General features: G+C 35.9%; 1 protein-coding gene and 1 long non-coding RNA gene across 10 annotated transcripts in view; one reads left to right on the forward strand and one right to left on the reverse strand.

The window, feature by feature from the left end:
- RGS5-AS1 (RGS5 antisense RNA 1) overlaps positions 1-8,783 on the forward strand; it is a 51,349-nt gene extending 42,566 nt beyond the window's left edge. Inside the window, exons 3-4 of the long non-coding RNA NR_110699.1 lie at positions 2,457-2,600; positions 6,553-8,783. This is a non-coding gene — a long non-coding RNA (RGS5 antisense RNA 1). The remainder of the gene's footprint in view (positions 1-2,456; positions 2,601-6,552) is intronic.
- Positions 1-16,972, reverse strand: part of RGS5 (regulator of G protein signaling 5) — a 179,437-nt gene that overhangs the window by 61,942 nt on the left and 100,523 nt on the right. The window lies entirely within an intron of this gene.

The raw sequence follows: 16,972 nt of genomic DNA on the forward strand, positions 1-16,972 counted from the left end.
GTCATCAGGTAAACTATATTTCTTACTATGGATCATAATCAAAAAAGTTTGAAAGCTGTGGCTCTAAACCACACACACACACACACACACACACACACACACACAGACACACACGTTTTTGAGACAGAGTCTAGCTCTGTTACCCAGACCAGAGACTGGAGTGAAGTGGCATGATTATAGCTCACTGCATCATCAAACTCCTGGGCACAAGCGATCCTCCCACCTTAGCCTCCTAAGTAACTGGGACTAAAGACTCTTGCTACCATGCCTAGCTAGTTTTTAAATTTTTTGAATACACAGGGTCTAGTTTTGGTGTCCAGGCTGGTCTTGAACTCTTTGCTTCAAGCAATCCTCCTGCCTCAGCCTTCCAAACACTAAGCACAATGTCAGGCACATAGACATCTGTAAATACTGAATGAGTTAAACAAACTGTCCAAGTTCCGCCATCTATTGACTGAGTAAACATCAGCAAATCAATTAATTATCATTTTTGAGACATGTGGACACTGTTGTTGACTATTAAATCTAATAAAGGGAATATAAAACAAGTAGAAGAGACTCCTTGGGACAAGAGTCTAAATCATTATTTGATACCAAGGGGCCTTGAGGAGATAATAATATGAAAAGAAAAACCCCAAGTTTAACGTAGAGCAATGGAGGGTGATGTCTTGGCGAGGGCTAAAAATCAAAGCATGTTTCTGACTGTCCCAAAGGAGTTCATGTGATGGACTATTCAAGAATAAAAATTATCTCAATTTACTAAAAGATGGACTAGAACCCAAAATGTAAAATTCAATAGAAATAATGTTAAATCCAACACTTATTTGTTTTTAAAACTTTGTAAGGATGGGATAGCCAGAAAGTATGTAAAAGAGTGTGCTCTAGAGGCAGAAAGTAAAATAGTGATTGCTAGAGGTTAGAAATGGGAGAAATGGAGGAGTTCCTATTCAATAAAGTTTCAATAGGTATAAAGTTTCAGTTATGCAAAATGAAAAATTTCTAGGGATCTGCTATACAACATTGTGCCCATAGTTAGCTATACTGTACCGTACACTTAAAAATCTGTGAAGAGAATAGTTTGTGTTACGTGTTTTTTAACCACAGTAAAAAAAAAAAAAAAAAAAAAAAAGGAGAGAGCCTACTACGTAAAATAAATTTGAAGTCTGAAAAAATAAATTGAACTATTTTAAAATCTCCTTTCCCTCCTGAGAATCCCTCAGAAATGACAGTAAATATATGAAAAAGGTATAAATCTGTAATAGCAAAGAAAAAGAGAAACAAGCCATCATATTCTGAGTGATTTCAACCACTTCTTCATGGAATGTGAAAAGAGGTGAGTAGGAGTGGTACCTAATGAAACAGGGGAGGGAATTCAGGGGGGTGCTTCAAAGAGATATCCATCTGCCCTGGAGGATGCCACAGTGGTTTGGGCTCCAAAGCACTAGATATTACAGTTCTACAGAAGGAAGGAGTTAGCTGTGCAAGTGGAAGCAGTGAGAGACATTGAACATTTTCATCAGATGAAAAGGATCTCCTGCCCACACAACTGCTCTGATTCATCTCTAATTCATTTCCTTAAATCATGTGTAAGTGTCTTTATTTTAACTATTATTAGCAATATATTTATTGAGATGCATTTTATCACTTCTAATTTGGGGACCTCTTGGACTATGTGATCCATGGTGAACAGACGTCTATTCACTAATCTCGCTACTCACAGTAAGAGTCTCACCCTAAAGCCAGCTAGGAGCACATGGAGTAAACAGAGGCAAGGTCTTCACCTTCATGTTGCTTGATTTCTGTCTTTCTGCTAAATGTTTTAAACCATAAGCAAGCTCAATTTATAATTCTACCACTCAGAAATATATACTGTCAATAGGTTGTGATATTGCTTCCCTGCCTTTTTTTATTTAAAGAAATAAAGAGGCAATGGATAAAACTAAAGTCCCTGGACTTTATATTAAATATAGTCCTGCTGAACCTGCTGGCACCTTGATCTTGAACTTCCCAGCTTCCAGGGCTGTGAGAAATCAATTTCCATTGCTTATAAAGTACCCAGTCTCAGGTATTTTGTTATAACAGCACAAACTAAGACAATATGGATTCATTAAAAGTATATAGTTTATGTTGCTTTTTGATTTTTTTAATGAAAAAAAGAGGACTCTCATGTCCATTATTTTTCCCCTTTCATCACACTTAGTACCTGTTAAGATTTTCGTGTATGGTATTCCAGGTCATTTTTTAATGTCCTCATATACATATGTACTATGATCTGAACGTTTCCCTCAAAATTCATGTGTTAAAACTTAATAATCACCAATGTGTTAATATTAAGAGGTGGGGCCTTTAGGAGGTGATTAAGCCATGAGGTCAAAGCTCTCATGGATGAGATTAGAGCCCTTATAAAAGGGCTTGAGGGAGGGGGTTCATTTTCTTCTGCTTTTCTGCCATGTTAGGAGACAGCAACAAGGCACCATCTTGGAGAAGCAGAGAGCAGCTCTCATCAGACACCGAACCTGCTGGCACCTTGATCTTGAACTTCTCAGCTTGCAAAACTGCCAGAAATAAATTTCTTTTGTTTATAAAGCACCCAGTCTCAGGTATTTTGTTATAGCAGCACAAACTAAGACAATATGAATTCATAAAAAGTATATAGTAATTATTGGTATGTGTTTTGATTTATATAAATATAATCTGCATCTTTTGTTATTTAAGATTATGATTTTTTGTTTTTGTTTTTAGATTATAATGACAACTAACACTACTGAATAATTTCTATGTATTAATCACTTTTTAAAACACTTCATATATTTACACATTTAATTCTCACAACAAAAGCATGAGATAAGTGGTATAATTTTTGCTATTTCAAAGAGAAAACCCTCTGATCATATAAATGGAAATGAAATTGTTCAGGATTAAAAAGCATCGGTACTAACATAGGAAGTGTAAAGTCTATACCTCCAGTTTATGCTTTTTAATTGCTGGAAAGAATTATATCATATGCAAATATAATTGAATTTCTTTATAGACCCATTGTTAAATATTTAGGTCATTTCTAATTGTTTGCTTCTGGCAAAAGTACTTAAATTAATATTCCTATATATGCCCCCGGAGCAGTTTATCTATAATGTAGTTCATAAAGTGGGACAGCTGAGAGGTGTAACAGTACAAAATTATCACACAGTCAGACCAATTTAGACTCCTAACAGAAATAAATGAGAGCCTCATTTTCCCAAATATGAAACACTTGCCAGGCTTTAATTTTTTCCAGTGACAGGCAAAAAATACCAAGTCATTTTCATTTGTGCCTTTCTAATTACTAGGGAATTTGAGCTTCTATTCATATACACATTGGCCACTGTAATTTTTCTTCCATTAGTTGTATATTTCCATTTTTTAAACAACTTTACTATCTGGCTTTTTAATATTGGTGTGCAAGAATTCTTTATAAAAATAATGAAACTAAAAATGGGAGAAAGAAGAAAAGTAGAATTAGATCATTGATTGTTGCAGAAGCAGTTAAAGGATACCAATAAAATTGGATAAACCAGATAACAGGTTAAATAAGAAAACAGGAGATGAAAGACACTAAGAAAAGTGTATGTACAAAGGTAACCATTAGAACAGAAATATAAATCTTAATCTTCCTACATACCAAAAAAAAAGAAAGATTAAAAAACAAAGAATAAACAGTTCATAGAGAGTGACATATAGGAAAATCATAAAAGACATAATTATTCAATACTGTGTGACAGAATTTTGAGACCAAACATATAAGTTATATCAATAAATGTAAATGTGCATAAATTTTCCATTAAAAGAGAAGTTTTAGTTAGGCTTACAAATAAAACCCAGCCTGGTTAACAAAGTGAGACCCCATCTCTACAAAAACAGTTTTTAAGAAAGATAGCCAGGCAACACGGTGAAACCCCGTCTCTACTAAAAATACAAAAAATTAGCCGGGCGTGGTGGCGGGCGCCTGTAGTTCCAGCTACTCCGGAGGCTGAGGCAGGAGAATGGCGTGAACCCGGGAGGCGGAGCTTGCAGTGAGCCGAGATCCCGCCACTGCACTCCAGCCTGAGCGACAGAGCGAGACTCCGTCTCAAAAAAAAAAAAAAAAAAAAAAAAGGAAAAGAAAAAAAAGAAAAGAAAGTTAGCCAGGCATGCAGTAGGCTGAGGCAGGAGGATTACTTGAGCCCAGGAGTTCAAGGCTGCAGTGAGCTATGATAGTGTACACTCCAACCCTGGGCAACAGAACAAGACTCCACCTCCATTAAAAAAAAAAAAAAAAAAAAAAAAAAAGTCAGAAGTAAGACCTAACTATATTCTGTATACAAAGGACATACCTAAAACAAAGTTATTTAGAAAGATTAAAAATAAAGAAATGGACAAGGGTATAATTGACATAAACAGCAAGAACGCAAGAGAAGTAAACCTGACAGACAATAAATCCAAGTCAAAATGTATTGAATATAACAAAGGTAAATACTTTTTAAGGCTTAAAAGCCACAACTTAAAATGGAAATATTAAATATAAATATTTTTGCACAAAGTAACACAGCAACTACCTTTCTAGTACATAGAAACATGCTAATAATCAGAGACTGGCATGCCTCATTCTTAGTACAAGAAAGAAGACAAAAAATAAGTATTATGGTCAAACACACACACATACACACACACTCACACGTACTTCTTATGGATATATATCAAACTCTACACCCTGCTAATAGAGAATCTAACTTCTTCTCAAATACCTATGAAATATTCACAGAAAATTAGGATATAACAATTCAAAAAGAAAATTAGTTAAGTCCAATTAAGTAGAAATATTACAAAAAATGTTCTATGATTGCAGTGAATTAAAACTAGATGTGATTAACAAAACCAAAAAGGCCCTTCCTCCTGGAAATTCAAAAACTTTCTATTAAATAACTGAGTGAAAAGAAGAAATACAAATTGAAATTACAGAGTATCTTACACTAAATTTCCACGTGTACTTAAGTCTATTTCTGAACTATTCTTTTCCACCAGTATATTTGTCCTTTCGATTACCAGTAGAATACTGTTTTAATTATGCGAGATTGGTAGTGTTTAATGTCTAGGTATTCATGTATATCCATTCTTTTCAAGTTGAACCTTAGTATCAAGTCTTTTATTCCCTACAAAAGCTTGTTGAAATTTTTATTAGGATTGTGTTAAATTTATAAATGAATTTAGGGAGAACTGACATCTTTATAGCATTAAGTCATCCTATCCCAAGACAGGAATATCTTACCATTTGTTTGAGTCTACTTGTGTATCTGCCAAGAGTGTTTTATAATTTTCCTTTTGTTGGTTTTATACGTTTCTTGCTAAGTTTATCCCTAAGTATTTAATCTTCTTTGCTTCTATTATAAATGGGATTTTCTCTACCATTATGTCCTCTAATTAATTTCTTATTAAGTGTATATTTTGATACCTCACTGAATTATATTATTGTTCAAGTTAGTTTTATTGTCAGTTTTCTAGGGTATTTGAGGCTTGCTGTCATAGCTTCTGCAAGAAAGAGATAGTTTTCTTTTTCTTTACCAAATTTTATGCCTCTAAGTGATTTTCTTTATGTTATCTAATATCTATAGTACAATATTGAGAAGGGCATATTTTTGCATTATTCCTGATATTAGTGGACATTTTCTAGTGTTTCCTCAATAAGTATGATATTGGTTTTAAGATTACAACTGTAATTTTCTTTTTCTGTATGTCTTTATTCTTTTTTTTTTCTGGGACAGGGTCTGGCTCTATCAGCCAGGCTGGAGTGCAGTGGTGCAATCTCAGCTCACTATAACCTCTGCTTGTTAGGCTCAAGTCATCCTCTCACCTCAACTTCCCAAGTTCCTAGGACTACAGATATGCACCACCACGCCCAACTAATTTTTTTTTTCGTATTTTTTGGGGTACAGACAGGGTTTCTCCATGTTGCCCATGCTGGTCTCGAGCTCCTGGGCTCAAGCAATCCGCTTGCCTTGTCCTCCCAAAATGCTGGGCTTACAGGCACAAGCCACCCACCATGCCAGGCTGTATGTCTTTATTCTTATTAAAGAATTATCAATTATTTCTGAATTAAACATTTTAATGACTATACATTTTACTTCTAAGATTTCTATTTGATTCTTTTCAATAACTGTTCTTGTTCTAGTTTTATGGATATAATGGCCTGGCTTAATTGCCCTGAAATTTTTTTAAACACTTTTAAAGGATTCCAGTGACTTTTTAGGAGGCAGTAGAATATAGGGGTTAAGAGTACAGACTGAAGAAAGAGAGAAAGTATCTCAATTCAAACTATAGTTCTATCACTGTCTAACTGTGACACTGGGCAAATTACTTAAAATTTGAGCACCTCTGTATTTTCTATAAAGTGAAATTAAAGGAGACAATGCCTAAAAGTGTTTATAACAGTGCCTTACACACAATGAGCACTCAACAAAGATTTGCTATTGAAATTACCTTTTTTTAAAAAATTTTTTTCCATGACACTGAATTTACTCATGGCTTTTAATTTCTGTCTAGGATTTTATCTTCTATGGAATTACCTCCTCTAAGAGTTTTCTCCCAAGGCAAACTGCATGAAAGTCAGGTCTCTACGTTGGCTATGCCTGGCTCTACTGTATACACTGGCTTTTGAACCTGGTCATATGTTGGTGTCTTGGTTGGAATCTGGAGAATGGAGTGGGGGAATGAATAGTTTAAATCTGGATTATGCATATGGAAGACTCAAGCTAAGAGCATTTAGGAATCCTGAATTAAGCCAAGAGTAAACAGGAGTGAAATGGGTAAGGTTTGATTCAGGTTTATCTAAGTTAATTGACTGAAAAAATACCCTGAAGATCATGATGTCAGAGAAGTTGTGGGTGCAGAACTCCATTTGTAAGAAATTTGCTAGTGAATGGGAGTTGAGGTAGTTAAAGCAATGAGCAAAGATTTCTTTTTTCAGGAGGTTAAGGGTGATTGGAAGGAGAGAAATGGTACGTTAACTTAAGGAGCCATAAGGTTAATTATGTTTAATAGGAGAATGAAATGTGAGCAGAGTGAATGGAGTGGGAAGGCTGAGGTTTGGAAATGTGTAGGTCCATTCTGAGACAAAGTGAAAAGAAAATGAATAAAATGATGATTCTAAGAAAACGTATTAAGGGAACAAAATGTGAGGAGTCTGGGGGCTTTTTTGGTAAGTCCTTCTTAGTTGAGGAGGTGGTGAAGGCATAGAAGTTTAGAAAGATTCTCACTAGCTCTTTTCGCTTGGTTCATGAAAGAATCGTGACTGGAAAACTATATTCTGTTACATTATTAAATGTTTTGATAGAATTTTCTCTGGGGGATGGCCTCACTGTATCTAAACTCCACTCAACTATAGAATAAGATGATTCTAATGGAAATTCCAGGAATTTCTCACCACATATGATATATGAGAAGTAGGATGGAGTTGGGTTCAGGCTCCATGCTTTTTGCCTCTGGATAATATTTATAAACAAGGAGTCCTACTCTGTCTCTGAAAAGAACAGTCAACATAGTTTTATGAGAGCTGCTTTTCTGGTATAATTACTCTAATGCTGTATTTATCCTCAAGGTCAGTAGTGGCCATTAAAAAAAGCTGTCCCTTTCCCTGGAGAACAGCATCCTCCCCCGACAAATAATTTCTGTTGGAAGAACATTCTGTAAGTCCATGTTCTCACTACAAATATTATCCAATGTAGTACTGAAGGACATTTTAAAAACAAAGTCCTTTTTGATCTTTCTGAGCCAAAATGTCTTCGACTTAATTCCTTTTCCACAAAATAAGAAACATCTTTTGGATTGAGGATTAGTCTTGCAATTCCTACTCTCCTTCTTCACAAATGTCTTTATTTAGTTTTGGTTCCCATGTCTGAATGAGTGATTTGAATAGATGGCCTCTAAGTTCCCTTCCATTTCTAACATGCTGGGGCTCTTTGAGTCTGGGTGATTACAGCTATTGTGTCTTATTTCCTTGGTATACACTAAGCTTCTTGAGGATAAATAGGGAACATGTTTTATTTGTCTTTGGGTCCCCCAAAACATGTAGGCTGGAGAACCTGTATAAGTAAATCTCTGTTACTGAAAAAAATACATAAGTTAATTAAATAAATAGGAATACCCACAAATATCATAGCATTGCCTGGAAATATTGTCTTAATGAGAACTAGAAAAGAAAGGCTCTTCAAGGTGGACAAAACACCTAAGTACATGGCTTGATTCTCAAAGCACCAAGGCACAGGCACTGGCTCATCAGATAACCAACCTCTTTTGGCTGTGTGCTATTGTGCAGAACACAACCTCCATAACTGTGCTGGGCATGCCTGCCACTGACACACAGCATCTTAGCTCCAGTGAAGCCTGAGGAGCAGGCTTCCTTATAGCTCCCTCACTGTTCTGCATGTAAGTCAAGGGGACAGCTGTCCTGGGAGCCAATACACCACTAACCTAAGTATCTAGACCACAGCCACAAAATGATATACACTCTCCTCCAATATACTATTAGGGATCAACACCATCCTATATTATGTCTCTGTTTACCTCAGGCACCTGCAGAGGTAAAGCCTCACTATTCATCAACTATTAATCTCACACTATTTTGTTCCAATTCCTTTTTCTCTTATATCCATATCACTGGCCCTCCTATATCTGTGTCTTTATGAATTAGCTTATGCTCCCTATCTTTTTCTTCTTCTCTTTTCACTTCTACCACTTCCTAGACTTCAATGAAATTGAACTGTAGCTCACACAAGAAAAAATAAATATAATTTTAATTTTCTTTACTTGTATCCTGTGGATCGCAGGATCAAAAGGTAATTTAGTCTTCCCTTTTGCTGTACATAGTTATTTTCAGATTAACAAGCCTCCTTGGTTTCACAAAATTAATTTATCCATTAAAACTCATGTCCTGGATATAACACATGGCAGATGCTATTAGTTGCTATGCATTACTTGCTTTTTTCCAAAAAAAAAGAAAACTGATTTTGAATGGAGCAAAAATATGCCCAGGTTTAAAGGAAAAATTAAAACTTAAGTTTCCCTTGAAGCTAAGATTAGCCATGTCACATGGTTTTAGTTAATGTGGTGTAAACACAAAATACTGGACAGAATTCGCAAGAAGTCACTGGAAATGGGGGAAGAGTCAGCTGGCTCTCTCATTTTGTCCCCCTCCTCTCCATTCTTTCTGAGTGTAATGCTAACTTGATGATGGATCTTCATAACCATGAGGCAGCAAGCATGGAGGCAAAAGCCACAAGCTAAAGATGGTTTAGAGGAAGGATAAAAGGAGGCTATTGGCATTATGTGGCTACTGTTTACAGCCTGGAGAGCCTACATCCAGGCTTCTGGATATGCAAGGAAAACAAAACTCTTTGTTTATTTAATCCATGTTTGAAGCTAAATAAAACAAAACTAACTTCTCCCTCCTGGTTTTTCCTCCTACGCTCCAAGAACTTCAACTGCAGGATCACAATCTTCCATTCACTGTGTCATCTGTATTCAGGGGAAAGCCCCCCTGAATCTCCCTTCAGTTGACATTTCCACCATGGATTTAAAAACACTCATTTCTAATTAGCTTTGCATCACTCCACCAATGATTCACCCAGAATTTCGTCATTACCAGAAACTTCTCCACCTGCAAGATCTCAAATCCAAACCTTCCGTTTTCTGACACCATCTCCTATTCTTTGAGATTAACTGATCAAGTAACCCCATTAAAATAATCTTTTGACCTCATCAGATAATTAATCGATTGAACTCTACTTTCTCACCAGTCTTCAAATCCCTCTTCTATTTATTTCCCTACTTTAGTCCCATGGTTGGGCTCCATGGGACTAAAGTATGATTACTGTTGCAAACACTCCCTTGACTCCTGATTTCTCCAATGTATTCTTATAGCAAAACCTAAGTCTAATTTCACCAAGAAACTAAATGTTCTTGAAGAAAATCACATAGGTTCTCACACAGGAGAGACAGATTTCATGTTAAATCTGTGATCAGTAACTTCAAATGGGTACTTGGCTCTCCCCAGAAATTCTACTAGGTTGCTCTACTAAGTTCAGTTTCCCACTTGCTGAAATGACTATCTCATACCTTCTCCTCAAGGCGTTGCACCACATCCATACTTCACTTCAGGGTGAATCCTTCAGAAACGAACACCTTCACATTTCTATTACTACATATATATACCCTTGCTCACAGATACAGGGCCTTGCTCCTTTCTATATAATCTCCCTCTATCTCCTTCATCATCAGTTTCTCCCTTCCTTCGGGCTCATTCTCCATGATCACACAACCATGCTTCAGTCTCTCTTCAAGAACCTAGCCTTAATCTCACCCCTACCACCAACCACAGCTCCTTTATCTCTCTCCTCCCCATTATGGCCAAAGTTCTTTAAAGAATTTTTTCCATATCTAATCTCCATGCCTTCACCTTCTATTTACTATTCACATTTCTTTTTCTTTAATTTTTGTGTTATTGTTGCTATTTGCTTTTTGGAATTGAGCTTTAAAAAGTGTTTGCTTTAGTGCAATGGGTAATGTAGCAAACATTCATGTACTCATGACCTAGAATCAAAAATTGCCAAATTTTGTTTTTTCCAAGATTCTTCATTACTTTGTGGTTTTAAACAAAGAAATCATTGTAGGTGAAGTTGAAATCTCCTTTGTTCTCTTCCCTAGACACACTTTCTTCCATTATCAAGAAAACCATTATGATGCATTTAGTTTGCTTTCAAATAACCTTTTATCATTTACTACAAACACACACACATATATATCCATAAACAATCTGAAGCTAGTTTTGTGTATTTATTTTAAAATATACGTAAAATGGAATGATTCTGAAGCTTTCTTTTTGCCTCAACCTTAGATTCTTGAGATCTACCCATGTTGGTTTATATTTATCTATGTCATTCATTGTAAATGCTGCATGTATTTCATCGTATATAGTCAAAATCATTTATTTGAGAGGCTGCATAGTATAATGGTAGAAAGCAAGTGTTCTGGAGCCCTGCTGCTTGGGTTTACTCCAAACTCATGTTGCTAACTAGCTATGTGACCTTAGGCAAGTTATCCAAACTCTCTGATGTCAGTCACTTCATCTATAAGATATAGTTAATAGATGTAGCTACATTTGGGATTAAATGATTTAACTTATCTAAAGTACCTAGAATCTTTCTGTCTCATAGTAAACATGCAATACTAGTGTGTCAGTGGGAAAACAGATGGCACACTCAAATTAGGATAATTGGAAGAAAGTTTACTTATAAAGGAGCAAATTACAAAAGTGTAGTTAGACAATAGGAGGACCACAAAGAATAGTACCTTTACCCAAGACGGCAGCTGCGAGAGGGAGCTGTTAACTCTTCTACACCAGAATGAAAGCAAACATTAGAAAACAAATTAATCTTATAAATAAATTGAAATCTCTTCTCCAGTCTTCTTTCCCCCAGTTTCCTAAGGGAATTATTAGGCATTTGGGTTATATCCAAACTACATTTAAAAGTTTTTGGGCCAGGCACAGTGGCTCACACCTGTAATCCCAGCACCGTGGAAGGTCAAGGTGGGAGGATCACTAGAGGCCAGAAGTTTGAGAACAGCCTGGGAAACATAGTGAAACACCGTGTCTATTCATTTAAATAATAATAATAAAAATAAAATAAAATAAAAATTTTATACACACTCCTATATGCAGACACCTAAACCTTTTTAGAGAAAAAGTTTGCCAGAGTCAGGCAGAAGTCATGTAATGAAGGCCTCCCAAAGGCATGTTCAGTGGAGCACTGATTCTGTAGGATGTTAGTGGGTTTCTTGCCAAATAAGGTTAGAAACAGTGTTTAAAACAAAATTAAACAGTTTTTTTCACCAGGACTTCTTAGAGCTTTACCTGTGCTAATGTGGGAGTCGGGAAGGAACCCATGAAGAGCACTCCTTACCCCGTCTCAGCCCCTTATCGAAGGCTGCCAAGTGCACAGGGGCCAGGGAGGATTTGCTATCCTGAAGACTTGCAAAGGCAAGAGAGGGGGACATGAGGCACCATTTGAGCTTCAATTCCCTTGCAGCCTAGTGGGCCTAGTGAAACCTCTTGGCCTGGGAAATTTTAACCATATGAAAAGTGACAGTGCAAAGACTCACAAACCAGATGGGCTCCAGCCTTCACAGATTTCCCCCACTGTCTTGTGGAGGAAATAAATCAATAAGATCCATAAATAAACACTTTTTATTTTGTCTCATCAGAGATCAACTCTATGGTGTATAATAACTAGGCGGATTGACTTCAGCTATAGATAGCACGGTGGAGATTTATAACCTGTCAGCAAACTACTTTTAGGAGATTTTTCGTAGGTCGTCATTTGCAATCACAAAAACTGTGCTGAGTATAAGAACAGTTACTCTAATACTGGATTCACTGACGATATTATCATGTAAGACTCAAATAAGTGTCAAGTATTTTGCAGATAACTTTGTAGAACCATTGTGAGCATGCTGTGGGCTTCAGGGTTCTCAGTTTGTGATGGCCCTGAGAAAGGGTGGATAAAGTTACTTTAAAGTCATTCTAAATGAAACCCAATTTGAAATAAATTTTGATTCACAGCGACCTCGCCAACTAAACTTCACAACCCCCAAGTACTCACATTACAGTTGGCTTCATAAACTCCACTGGGTTTTTAATGTCAGCTCAAAGTGTGGTCCTTAGCTAACTAATGCAGAAACAGAAAACCAAATACCGCATGGTCTCACATATAAGTGGAGGATAAATGATGAGAATGCATGAACACAAAGAGGGGAACAACAGACACAGGGGCCTACTTGAAGGAGGAGGGTGGAAGAAGAGAGAGAATAAAAAAAATAACTATTGAGTACTAGGTTTAGTGGCTGGGTGGTGAAATTATTTGTACAACAAACCTCCATGACACAAGTTTACCTGTATCACAAACCTGCACATGTATCCTTGAATCTAAAATAACAGTTAAAAAAATAAAAAGACTCAGCTGTTCAGTTCACCTTCCCTTTGAAATAGAACCAAAACAATCTGGCCTTTACTCTGGGTTTTTTGCATGAAGGAACACTGATTGTTGAAGAACGGTCCCTGAAAGACATCAGCATTGGCACTTTTCCTCCCATCAAAGAGAAGAAATTTGGGCCCTAAAATAGAGCACTATTGGCATCCTTCCACAAAATAACTATGCACAGTCTTTCCTGTAAATTATAACATTAAAGAAAACCATTATTTAAGACTAATATTTGTACATACATTGATATGCCAATGAGCACTGTGCATCTGTAAGATGAGAATATCCTGTGAAATGTTTCTTGCGCACATTTTTCACTGAGGTTTTGTTTCTTTGTTTTGTCAGACACTTCTTTCCTGGGCTAGTGTTCCTTAGAATTTGTTTTGGGAAACAATGCTGAGAGAAGAGCAGAGAACTTGGAACCTTGATGACATTGTTGAGCTACTGACTAAAAGTATCCTGAACCTGAATTCTACCATTGTGCGAAACTTCTGATATGTGGTTTATTAAATCTTCTTATTGGTTAACACTGTTTGAATTGGGATTTATATTATTTGGAATGTAAACTAACAGAGAGAAAATTGGTACGCAGATTACGGTACTGTGAGTAACAGATTTTAAATCGCAGAACTGATTGGACGCAAGAGGTAGGACATGGAGCCATGAGGAACCCACTATTTATAATGTGGATTTGTGTTGACCATTTATCATGCCTGGAATAGAGACAAGCTTGGGCTAAAAGTGACCTGCCTGAAAAAAAAAAAAATTGTGTAATATGGCTTTGCCATATCCTGCAGCCCAAGTGAACTAAGTGTCTGGTAATTTGGAGCTATGCAGGTTTGAAAAGCTGAGTATGACCCATGAGTTCTTCATCAGGGCTCCATGTGTCTCAGGTGATTTGAGAGACGGTTGATAAAATTGAAAGCATATGTGAACTTGAATGAGGGAAAAATGATATCTTTCTTTTCATTAACCTCTAACTGAAATTTAGCATTTCCTATAATTATAAATATAGAACCAACAAACCCACAGATGGATATTTGTAATTTGTCACCAATAGAATTCACAGATATTTTTGTATCACATTATAGTTGTTACAAATATCTTAAAATATCATTTACATTCAAAACTAATTTTTAAATTTTAGTAGATCCACTGTTAGATATTAATTTTGTATATCTTAAATATTAATTTACATGAATTACAGACACCTATATTACATCATGTGTTTTTAATAGTTTCACAACTATATTTCAATTTATTTTTTTCTGTGCATTATGCATTTTATTTTATGCAAAATAAAATATGTAAAAATAAAAATAAAAAATAGAGAAAATAGTAAAAAAAAATTTATGTAAAAATATTCTGAGAAAGAGTCTACAGGCTTCACCTACGTTCCCCAGGTGTCTGTGGCATAAAAAAGGTTAGGAAACTTTACCCAAGGTAAAATTAGTGAGAGAAACTATGGGAAAATAGGAGATTAAGGAATGGGATTATGGTAAAAGACAAAGAGATTGCCTCAGGATATTCTCCAGCATTTCCTAAGAAGTGTTCTCTACCTGACAAAAGGAAGAAATGTATGTATTGTGAAGATATAACTTGGAAACAGCTGGGGATCAAGAAGCAGATTATGGTAGTGCTTCTACACCCAAACTATTGTCTATAATTGCGTGAGGGCCAGAGGGATGGGCTGGAGTCAAAGCTTGTTGCTGGGAGACTGGAATTCTCAAACTCAATGACTCTTACCTGGATAGAATTTACGGCTCTCAGTAAAGAAAATAGATCAGCATTTCACTACATTTTTATTATATTTTATGTATTTGTCTTACTCTTTATCGAGGTGTAAATGCATACAAAAAAGTATTACAAGTGGAGAGCTCTACGGATTTTCACAAATTTAACACACTCGTACAACCAGCACCCAGATTAAGAAACAGCACTAAGAGCACCCCAGAAGCCCTGCCTGTTCTCCCTCTTTGTCCTATTCCCGTAGTATGTTGACTGTAAAAAAGCATAGTTTAGTTTTGCTGGTCCTGGTTATTTTCATATAAATGGTATCATATAGGATGTACTCTTTTGTGTCAGGCCTCTTCATGAAGCTTGGGAAACTAATCCATACTTTTGCATCTTGTAGTTCTTTCATTTTAATTGTTGTATAAGCAGAGATTATAAAAAATGTGATCTGGGGACTCCTGAGGTTCCTGCAACCTTTTCCAGTGTGTTCACAAGATCTAAACCATTTTTATAAAATGGTAATATATAATATGTCTCTTCATTCTAATTCTCTCATGAGTGTACAGTGGAGTTGTCCAGAGGCTACATGATATGTAGATGATGTTCATGCATTGCTGTTTTCAAAATTTTCTCAGTTTTAATTTCCAATATAATACATGCTATAGATATAACAAAATATAAAATATAAAAACAAAAGTTCCTTGGGTTCTGCAATAATTTTTTAAAAAGTAAAATGTCCTGAGGCCAAAAAGCTTGAAAATCATTACTGTAATTTTGTAACTATACCACAATTTATTTTTCATTACATTGTTGATAAGCATTGAGTTTTTCTAATTTTTGGCTATCATGAATACTGCTTCTATGAATGTGTCTTTTGGTGAACATATGGACTCATTTCTGTTGGCTACATATACCTAGGATTGGTATTGCTGGGACATGGAGTATATATTTGGTTTCTAGTAGATACCGCCAGTTTTTCAGAATGCCTGAACCAATTTACATTCCCATCAGCAATCTATAAAACTTTCACTTGTTCTACATTCTAATCAACACTAGATACTGTTTATAATTTTAGCTATTCTTTTGCTTGTTTAGTGGTATTATATCAGAGTTTTAATTTGCATTTCTCTGAAACCAGTGAAGTTGAGCTCCTTTATATGTACATATTGACCATTTAAATATTCTTTTGTAAATTGTTCAATTATTCTCTATGTTTTTCTACTGGGTTGTGTACCTTTTTCTTATTGAGTTGTAGGAGTTCTTTTCCTTTTTAAATGTTTTTTTCTGCATCCATTAAAATAATCACGTTTTTCTCTCAATATCGATATAACACTCATCCAATCCACAGACTCCATTCAAATTTTACTAAGTATCCAAACTTTCTATTTCAGAATCACGTGTGTGTTGCACTTAGTCATCATATTTTATGAATCTCCTTCAATCTGCAGTAGCTCCTCTTTTCCTCTCTTTTACATCTTTGACAGTTTCAAAAAGTCTAGCTCTTTGATTCTTTACGGTGACTTTCAAACTTAGTCCATCTGATATTTCCACAGGACCAATTCTATAACAAGCCACAGAATTGATGCTGTGCTCTTGTGGTAGTCTGAATAATGCCCCCCTCCCTCAAAGATGTCCATGTCCTAGTTCAAAGAACCTGTAAACATGTCACCTTTTATGGTAAAAGGGATTCTGCAAAGGTGATTAAGTTAAGAATAAGAATCTTGAGATGGGGAAATTAACCTGGATTATCTCAGTGGGCCCAATGTCATCACAAGGTCCTTACAAGAGCAAGGCAGGAGGATCAGAATTAGGAGAAGGAGATCTGATGATGGAAGTAAAAGTTTGGAGTGGTGCAAGGAAGGGGTCATGGAAAGCAAGGAGCCTTTAGAAGCTGAAAAAGTCCAGTAATCACTCTTCTCAATGCCTCTGAAAGGAACACAGCCCTGTTGTGACATTCACTTTAGACTTCTGAGAATAAATCTGTGTTGTTTCAGGCACTAAGTTTGTGGTAATTTGTTATAGCAATAGTAGGAAGCTAATAGGTTCTTTTTGGTGAATTATATCAGGAGACACTCTGGTCAGCCCTTCCCACCATTTGTACATATGTATGCAAAATGATTCCTTTTATGGCTATCAGCCAACTTCTTTCCTCAGTGTAATGTTGTATGGAACAAGAAGACAATTAAGATCTCTGT

Source organism: Homo sapiens, chromosome 1 (genome assembly GCF_000001405.40).
Source record: "Homo sapiens chromosome 1, GRCh38.p14 Primary Assembly".
NCBI lineage: Eukaryota > Metazoa > Chordata > Mammalia > Primates > Hominidae > Homo > Homo sapiens.